General features: G+C 33.6%; 1 annotated feature.

Moving 5' to 3' along the window:
• Positions 4,599–5,798: an enhancer, noted in NCBI's record as "BRD4-independent group 4 enhancer chr10:58297350-58298549 (GRCh37/hg19 assembly coordinates)". NCBI's record gives its function as "activates an origin of replication core promoter dependent on BRD2, P300/CBP, MED14 and CDK7 cofactors, and independent of BRD4, by STARR-seq in HCT116 cells {active_cell/tissue: HCT116}" and the evidence as "EXISTENCE:reporter gene assay evidence [ECO:0000049][PMID:35650434]".

Here is a 10,913-nt window from a genome sequence, read left to right on the forward strand (position 1 = left end):
ATCAAATCAACGTTGGCTGCGTATGTCACAAGTAAAGTATTGGAGCTTTGCATGCATGACCTTCCATAGCACATCAATCTCACTTCAAAGGACAGAATAGAAAACACGTATTAATAAAGAATATGTGTTTTATCTTTGTTGTTAAATTCCCCTGCTGAAAACATCTAGAGATGACAAATTAATATTTAAAAAATTAAAATGCAAATTAAAGGTTAAAGTGCTAGTGCTTTGCAAGAAACTTTTAAAAATTAAAGGTAAAGGTTGTCTCAGAAGAGTAGAGGAGAAGCTAATCAAATGTGATGCACTATTCATTTCAGAAAGTCATATTTGAAAGAGGAAGACAAGTTCTGAAACATACAATCTAAGTCATATCAAGAAGGCTTTCCAATCTCCCCTCATTTTGATTCTTTCTAAACTTTCAGTTATTTTTATTATTTCTTCTAAAGCTAATAGTTTCTAAATATATAATGCAGATTATTAAAAACAGTTTACTTTTGTGTCTCTCTGCTTGTGAATTATTGGACACCTTACCCAAATTTCACAGAGACCTAGAAAAATGAAACTATGGTGTCAGAGAAAAATCAAAATGATCAGGAAAGTGAAGGAAACATCATTTAAGTAGAGGCAATGGAGAGTTAAGTTTCTGGAGAAAACAAACAGACACTGATAAAAAGTTGTATTCCAAGTTTATGAAGTTATAACAATATAAATTAAATCATATATCATATTCAATTTATATTGTGTTATGTACTGTGAAAGCTTTAAAGTAAGCCAGTTGATATTTAAACTTATTGTAGATGGTATGAAATTAGAAAGTGCACAATTTAGGATTCACTAACGTTCTGAGACAGTCTTCTGGTTCTAATGCTAAAACTAATTAAAAATCTAATGTAAAGTTATTTAACCTTGCTAAATCCCATAATGTATACCAATTTATAAGGGGCTTTTATTTGGGGATATTTAACCAGGATAAAAGGAGGGGCTGTAAGGGGAATCTGAATTCCCTAATATTTTGTGGACATGTAATATGGTGGTGAAGAAGGCCCTCTCCAGAGCCTGACCAAGCTGACAGCTGGATCTTGGACTCCTCGCCTCCAAAACTAAAACACAATAAGGGCTCAGGCCTATGCTGCCCCTGCCCCTTCTGCCCCCTGACTTTCCTTAGTGTTCTCCCAGGTGGCCCTGACTGGGGAGCTATGCCTCCTGTTTGTAGGGACCCAGATGACACTGGCTTCCAGTACAAAGGAGTCCATGGATAAGCCACCTACAATCCCTGAGAGAAGGAAGCATAGCTGTTCACATGGAAGAATGATTTTTCCTTGTTCTGAATTCTTAAAGCAGATTTTTCATGTGAAATATTAAAAATCGTTCCTACCGTGGCCAAAAAGAAAATAGCTTGATTACATCTTCAGGGTGTCTGTGGTTCCCAAAACCTTAAGAACTACATAATTAAGCAATTTAATAATCTCTTTTAGGACAAAGATTGGACTTCTCAAACCTATCAGTTAAATTCAGACTATGTACGGCTACGGAGTATTCTGATTTTTAGCTAAATGATGCAGTTAAATTCATTGATACAGAGTTGAGTCATGAGGAAAACATTAGAGATTTTTTAAGAATTTACCGACAACTTCTCTAACTGATGTAAATGAGAGGAAATGTACCATTCCACCATCTGGCTCATGGTGGTGTGCCATGAAACTTTTGGTCCAGCCACTCATATGCTCTGATTGTAAAAGACAATGAATATTGCAGGCTTGGATAAAAACAGTATAAAATATGAAAATTTTTCAGCACTTTGTAATAATTTCAGTAGCTGTGAAATTTTTATCAGGAGGTTCACCTATACTTACAAAGGGGTTCAGGGTCACTGGGTTTGCTGTCTTCCTTCATAAACACTGATCCCCATGTGATTATTGAGATAAACATTGCCTTTAAGAGCCATTATGACTCTTTGATGAGTCTCTAATTTCAGTGATGTGTCCAAGCTGCTACCTGGTGACTAGTTCTGAAGGTAAGGAATGCTGCAAAAGTAATGCTAATTGGCAAATACAAAAATTTACCGAACGTTGATTTATAAAGAATTGAAATTGCAGTATTTGGACATTTTTTTTCAGGTATTATCTGATGCTGTTGTTCAAAGCAAAACATGCACCAGACAAATTTAAACAGGCAAGAAAAAATTTATTTATGGTTATTACAATAGAGATAAAGATGAGAACTCTGGGTTCAATTTTGCTAAAACAAAGAACAGGAAAGTTTTTAAAAGCTAGGGTCAGGGAATCATAGACCAGCTGAGTTTGTTAATTGTCTTTATCCAAAGGAAAAGTAAACTTTCTTTTAAATTTGTGACAGCATCTAGTTTTATAGCTTGGAGCAAGGTAACCATCACAGTTAGAATCCTACTGTCCCCCAGAGACTGGGAGATAGGTGCTCTGTCTTTCTTGAGGATTAGATTCCAATGAGATGACTCTCAGGTCCTTGAGAAAAACATCCTTGGGTTGTAAAATTGGCAATAGGCTTTTAAGAAGATTTGCATCTCAAAGAGGCAGAGAAAATTTCAAAGGTAAGTGCTCTAAGAAAAGGAAGGTCAGGGCCTAGAGTCAGGAAGAAGCCTGTCTAAAAGTTTAGTCAAGCTGAGGGAAACCCTAAGGTCACTACCAAACTTTCAAATGCACTTCACTTTTTTCATATGTCACACAGTACCTGTCAATTACAGAATCACTGACTGTACCATGCTGCCAATAAGAAGTTACCATTTCAGCTAAGTCATTCAAAAAATGACGACTACCGAGAGTAATATTTTTTAAAGGAGGTAATGTGAAATTCATATTCTGCCATTTAGAGTAGATTTTCTTCCTGCCCAGCAATTTATCTTAGAATTTTCTTCAGGTATTTATGTGACTTTTTAGTTGTTGTCCATTTCCTATTATTTCTACAGTACATTTTAAATGAGTGCATGAATGTAGTCTAATTTTTATTTTAGTATATCGTATTTATCAGAAACAGGACAGTCATTTCTCTTGACATTTTGTACAGAGCACCTATATGCTTACATATATTTTGTCTTGATTGTAGTGTGTGATCTGCTTAATCAGCAAAATGCTCAGGATTGTCCATTGCTACACTTTGGAGTCCATCATCCCTTGAGTGCACTTTTTCTGGGGCTTCCTTATGCGTCCATTACCTACATCACTCACCCTGTGCCAAGAGTAATTATGAAACATGTTCTCTAGCCAACGACCTTGGTGCGAAAATAACCCCTTGACAGTGAATCTCTACATTAGTGGCAGTAAGAAGGTGACTTATCCCATTTCAACAATTAAAGGGACTTTATAACAGTCACATTTACCCAGATGTACTGAACAAGGGTACTGAAAGAAAACGTTTAGTCAGAGAAAATAAAGCATGAGAGATGTAGCTTCACCCACAAGGGGAATAGTAATATGCTAGTCCACTTCTTCACAGCCCTGAACTTCAGATTATATTATTACTACTCCCAAGCAAAGAAGGAGGCCCTCATTGTTCAAATCCTAACTTCAAAACTATGATGTTAAAACTCTCCAGGCACTGGTCTGATTACATAGACAAAGCTATATTTTCTTGACTCTCAACACTTAAACACTCTTTTGTAAATTGAGTTGCCCAGAAACAGATTCTGAAACAGATACTGGCATGTGGAGGTTTACTGGGGATGGATTTCAGAACTACAAGTCTATAAAGGAGTGACAGAATCAGGATTGAGTAGAGGGAGGAGTTGAACTAATGTGGTGTATTTTCAGCAGCGATCTTGACAGAACTCAGAGAAATTCTAAACCTGGATGGCCTTCAGAGATGCTCCAGATTGAGGCAAGGGGGTCTGGGCTTTGGGCTCCCTTGTTGATGAGTACTTGAATGTTGACTATCATAGGAGGGGTTGATTGAGATGACTTTGAGCAAATAGCTGGCTTCCTTTGGGAAATTTTTGAGGTTCCGTATACCACAAGTGAGGAGCAGCTACCACTTTCAGCTCTCATGGGAATTAAGGCCTCAGTACTGAAAGAGGATCTGAGTGACACAGCACAGCATCCACTTTAGTCCAAGCTTTGTACATCTTTGATCGACTTGCTTAATATAATACATTTATGCAAACTGGGAGTAGTTTCACTAGAATTCTGTTTTTTTCTTTTCTTTCTTTCCTTCTTCTTCTTCTTCTTCTTCTTTTTTTTTTGACAGGGTGTCTCTCTGTTGCCAGGCTGGAGTGCAGTGACACAATCACCACTCATTGTAGTTTTGACCTCCTGTGATCAAGTGATCTCCTACCTTAGCCTCCCAAGTACTGATTTATTTTATCTTAGAAAAACTTGCCAATCAAAGTCAGTGGAGCGAAGTAAAGTTTCAGCAGCTGCAAATGAGATTCAACATCTTCCTCCTATAGTTCCCATTCTAGATTCCCCTCACCTTCCATTAGTGCATCTACTCATATAGTAGCTTACTCCACCACCCCTAAGAAGTCTACACCCCTGATCTTCATGCTCTTTTTCTTCACCTTCAAAAGTATTCAGGGCTGTGCCAAGAGATACTACACTGGATCATCTGAGTGCCAATTGTATACTTCCCTGTTCCCAGTAGGTATTAACAGCTTTACTTCCTTGTAATGTTCTTCCTGATCTCTTGGCACAAGGAATACAAAGTGATCAGGTGTTTGTCATAACCTACAGTTTAATGTGAAACTTACTATGCCCTGATATAATGACTTCCCTTCTGGAACAGAGACTTCTAGACCAGAGTCTTGAGTAAAATAAGTATAATTTTACTAAGTGCAATACCAGAAGTGATGGTATAAGTTGCAAGGCCTCTTGAGGTCTGATCTCTGGAAATGCCTGGACATCATTTCTGCCACATTTTTAGTCAAAACCTGTCGCGGGTCATCCCATATTCAATGTGATGCAAAATAGAAGGTACCTGTTAGTGATGAGGTAAACGAAGCCACATTGTAAGAGAGCATGAAAGGAATTGTAGCCGTCTTTTAGGGTACTCTATCACATTTAACCATTCAGATGATATATGTTGAACTAAAGCAAGGGCCTTTGTAGCCATGTCATCCAGTCATTAGATGTGAGCTGCAGCCACATCTAATGAGGCATAACCTTGGGAAAGGTTGCTCTCTTTGGCTAAATGGAATTTCCAGAGTGACTCAGCTATGAGTCATCAGAAAGCAAAAATTCTGGCAGCCTGAGGAAGGAGTATTTCAGTCTTAAAGTGGAGATCTGGGCACCACATTTACAACACGCAACACACACACACACACGGAAACCCCCTACACACTCTGATTTGTGCACTGTGCTAATATTTTACAGATGCAAGGATAGTCACTACACAAGTTAAAAAAATTATTAAATGGTTTCGCATTCTCCTAACACACAAGGACATGTCAATTCACATATCTCAATCATTTTTCATTCACTCCTTGGTTCTAGAAAACTTGCCTACCTATTTATGAGCAAGACTTCAAGATTCAGCACAGACGTTCCCTTGCCTGATGATCCAGCTAGAATAGAACCCTTCTATCCATATGCCTTCTATCATTGGTACCAGTAAAATTTTTATTAACCTTTAAATGTGCTTGCCTATGTCTCCAACTAGAAGTTAGACTTGAAAAAATGTTTATTATCTTACTCATATATTTTTAATCCTAGGATAGCATGGTGCTTGGCACAGAGCTGGTCTGGTGGACATACCCTAAAGAAGGCCCCATGATCCCTGCCTTCTGTTATTTATGTCTGTGTGCAATCTTCTCCCCTTCTAAGAAATAGAAGAACATAGTTGATAGAATATCAACCCTGTGATTATGTTATGTTATATGGAAAAGGCAAATGCAAAAATGAAGGGATTTTTAAATATTTAATTAAGATTAATTTTTAAAAACAATTTTTAAAGTTGTTTTTAATTTTTATGGATACATAATAGTTATGCATATTTATGAAGTGCATGTGAGATTTTGATACAGTATACAATATTTAATTATCAAATCTTGTAAATGGGGTATACATCACTACCAACATTTACCATATCTTTGGGGTGTTAAACCTTCTAACTAATTTGAAATATGAAATAGTTAATTATAGTCACCCTATTGTTCTACCAAACATTAAATCTTATTCCAGACATGATTTTGCTCCTCTTTTGCCTTCTGCCATGATTGTGAGGCCTCCCCAGCCATGTGAGTCAATTAAACCTCTCTTCTTTATAAATTACCCAGTCTCAGGTATGTCTTTATTAGCAGCATGAGAGAAGACTAATACATCTGCTATTTAATAATATTTCTGCTATATGATTTTTATTCTATTGTCTTTTGCTGGCTACAACTAAAGGGATTGGGAAAGATAATTTGAGTATATCTTAAGGAAACAAGTCATATATCCTCACGGTCATTCTCATGACATGAGCTTGCTACAAATGGCATGCTGTTTATTATTGTATCTATTGCTAATCTACTCCATCTCACCCCTATTAAAATAATCTGGTGGAAAAACAGTTTATTTTCTTAAGCAGATACAAAAACTTGACAAAAATATTCTTTATTTTCTGAGTATTTCCCTGTATTTTCTATAATTTTGTTTTCCCTTCTCTCTGCTCTACTTTATTTTTTCTTGTAGAGTTAATGGGTAATTTTTTTTCTAAATGTCATTAAAATTACTGACATTTTATTTTCTAATTTTGGAAATTTGGTATAGAAATACTTATAAGATCATATTTATGATAGAACAATGATGTAGTATTTAATTTATATACATATTTTCTCAATTTTCTTACCTGTGTTTTTGTTGTATTAGCTCAAATCATCAGATATTATTGTTAATCATAGCCTGTTTAAAATAAACTTGTTTTATTCATTCCACTACAGTATCCCAAAGATACACAGGTTGTTTTTTATAATTAGCAGGCATAAGGGCATAAAGAGAAGAGAGATGTTGGAAAACTCACTTAGAAGAACAAGGTGGAAGTGAGAAAAATGATTGAAATATATGTAACATATACATAATCGACTCAGTATAGTGAATGAGACTGCTACTATCATTGTTTTCATTTTAGAATGAAATATAAAAAAATGAAAAGAAAAGTCTAAACCAGTTCAAATTAAATTACAGTAGACCCACCTTATCTGTGGAGGTGGGTCTTATCTGTGCATCCCTGAAACCATGGAGAGTACCAATGCCTGTATATACAATGTTGTTTTCTGTATATATATACCTATGATAGTTTAATTTATGCATTAGTCACAGTAAGATATTAGCAACAACAATAATAAAATAGAACAGTTATAACAGTATGCCAGCATCACTACTCTTGTGCTTTGGGACAATTATTAAGTAGAATAAGAGTTACTTGAATACAGCACTGATACAACTACAGTCAATCTGAAAACCAAGGTAGCTACTAAGTGACTAACAGGTGAGTAGCATTTACAGTGTGGGTATGCTGGAGCAAGAAATGATTCACATTTGCAGCGGAACAAAGTGGAATGATGGGAACTGCCATCATGCTACTCAGCGTGGTGCACACTTTAAAAATATGGGAATTGTTTCTGAACTTCTGTATAAATTTATTTCTGGAATATTCCATTTAATATTTTTAGAGCATGGTTGACTGCAGGTAACTGTGACCACAGAAAACAAAACCATAGATTAGAGGAAATGATTGTACAAATATGGCAAAGTAGGTATGCAAAATAATTAGTTACATAACTGCTAGGCCTTATCCTTACTGTATATAATAAACTAAATTTCACCTCATTGGAAAAATAAAGGCCTATGAAACATGTAAACCAAAAAGTAACCGAGGCAGATTGCAATTGATTGGAGGTTTATTTTGCCAAAGTTGAAGATGCACCCAGGAAAAATAAACACAAATCAGAGTAGGATCTCTGACCTCTGCTCTTTCCAAAGATGGTTGTGGAAACTTCAATGAAAGGTTAAAAGCAAGCAGTAAGGGAAAATGAAAAAATAAAGGAGAGAGGGTAGGCAATGAGTTACGTGATTATATTATTATGAGACTTTGATTAGTGCTCAGTCAGTCTACATTTTACATGTGAAAAGGAAGGGAGTAAAGGAAAAAGTCAATAATACACTTGTCTTATACTCAGTAAATCTACATTTTGCATAAGATAAACTAAGCATGTAAGATTACAGATATCTGCTTGGGAGCAAAAGGAAGGTAGTTTTTTGTGTGACTTAGTTCCCAAGCTAAATTTTCCCCCTGACATAGTGAGTTTGGAATACCAAGATTTTTTTTTTTAATTTCACAAACATCGCTATTTTAAAAGAAAAATTACATATAGTTTGAGCTAGATTCAAAATGCTTCATTCATATATCAGGTATGTAACATATCACCTTCTAGGTTATATTTTGGAATACTTGACAAGCTAAATAAATATACTGAAAATTACTAGTGTAATTAAATTCTAAACAAGTTCTAAGTGAGGAACTTATGCTAATAATTTCAGTACAATGGGATATATATAATGATACCAGCAGCATAGATTTAGAATTAAAATAAATAAATTAGTATTAACATTGATTAAAATATACAAAGGGAGCCAGGACAACTTCAGAGAAGTGATCAGAGAAAAAAAAGTTAAAATATGTCAGTTTTGTGTCCTATGATCATGAGAACTGATATAACAAGCTATTCCACATTGATAACAGAGATTTTTCCTTCAGGCATAAGGACCTTTCTTTGACACATGGGAGTGGGGAACACACCTGAATTATACTGATATATACAATAAAATATTGTACAAAATATACAATAAAATATCTCATCAGAGCTTATTATTATGGAAACAGAATGATTTGAATGAACATTGCTTCATTCTTTTCCATGAAACTACTAACAAGATAAGACACGATATAAAAATTAAAAAATAAGATTTGAAATTTTTCCGATATCAAAGTCATTTATTTTATTTTCTAAAACTGTTGAATACCAGTAAATTGACCAGTTTTTATTTAAAGCAAAAATAAATAAAATAATTTTATTATCTAGGATGATTTTTTAAAATAGTAGCAATTTTAACATTGAATCAGTTTTGATTCCATTAAACATTATTTGTCAAACTGGATTGTATTCTATCCCTCTGTTTCTTCTCAGAGGCTACTGTTTTCAGATATGTTTTACCACCCACGTGATCCAAAGATAGAGGCACCAAGATTTTCTGTAATAAGTGGAAAATAATGTGCCCGTAAGTCTATTTCTCTGTACCTGGTCCCCTATCAATAATATGAATTTTACATTAGAATTTTTTTTAAGCTGCATGAGTCTTCTTAAATTATAATGCTCTCTTTTTAATGTTTACCAAAATCATCACCAAGAGTAGTCACCTTCCAAAATTCGTTGGTCCAACAAAAACACAGTAGAGTGAAGGGCCTGCTCCCATCAGAGCTTGCAGATAACTGAACATTTGCAGGCTTTCAGATGAGAATCAGTTGCATGCAGGGAGGGTGATGCACCCCAGCTCCACTGGGACAGAAACTCCTGTGATCAGTACCTTTCTAGACTTTGCCCTATGTATGCCTTGATTTGGCTGTTTATTAATATTTTTTATAATAAGCTGGTTGATATGAAAAAATTAGATTATATGAATTGATTAACTTAAAGTAAAAATTCTTAATATTATATAAATTAGCCTTAATTTGTCATATGAGAACACAACATTCTTAAATAAATTAAAGAGACTTCCTAAATATTTCCAAAGTAGTTCAACAATTGAAGCATCTGTAAACATACAATCCAGAACTGTTGATCTTTCCATATATGCACAAACTTCATAATAATGATGGAAAAATAAACTATTTTAAATTGGAAAATGTATAAGATTTCAAAAAGTTTCTGTACATCTGAAAATAATTGGTAAAGCACTAAAATATCAATTAGAACCCGGACCCTTACACTGTATGAATTTAAAGTAGGTTGGTCTCTCGGTAATGAATTTGTTTCATTTTTAAAATGTTTATACTATCATTTGTGTAGCCTACTGGGCAAGTGTGCACTGTAAGTTAATATGACATATGGCAACACATTATACTATTGTCTCTCACACTGAGATAAAATGTTCTGAAATCTACATATTGTAAATAAAATATGTAATGTATTATATACACACATAAATATATAATAAATATACATATAATACACATATATAATTATACACATATATAATAAATATGTGTACACATATAATATATACATATGTATGTACACATATAATATATACATATATACATATGTATATATAATTATATATATATGTATATATAATTATATATACATATGTATATATGTATATAATATATGTAAATAATATATACATATACAATATTGTATACAATATGTATTATTCAAATAATACATAATATTACATAATATGTATATTTATATTTATATTACATATTATATTATATTATATTACATATTACATTTATATTACATATTACAAATAATACATAATATTGTATACACATATAATATATAATAAATATGTGTATATATAATTATATATGATATATTTATTATGGATTATATGTATATACAATGTATACATATACAAAATGTGTATGTATATTATATATGTAATATTATGTATACTATATATATTAATATATGGCATGATTACAACTTCTTTATTAACTACTTGGAAACCATTGAGAAGAGGAAATTTCTACTTGTTACCATCATTCAAGAGAACAGCAAACTATATATTGAAGTAGGTAAAATAGACTTTCTGATACTAAATATGTACATGGTATGTCTGTTTCCTTTTCTACTTTTTGTTATGTGACCCTCCCTGTCCATCCCAAGTGTCTTGAGTTTTGTCGTATTTTCAATTTCCCAAATCTATTTCTTCCTACACTTAAGCACTATATGGATGTAT

Source organism: Homo sapiens, chromosome 10 (assembly GCF_000001405.40).
Source record: "Homo sapiens chromosome 10, GRCh38.p14 Primary Assembly".
NCBI lineage: Eukaryota > Metazoa > Chordata > Mammalia > Primates > Hominidae > Homo > Homo sapiens.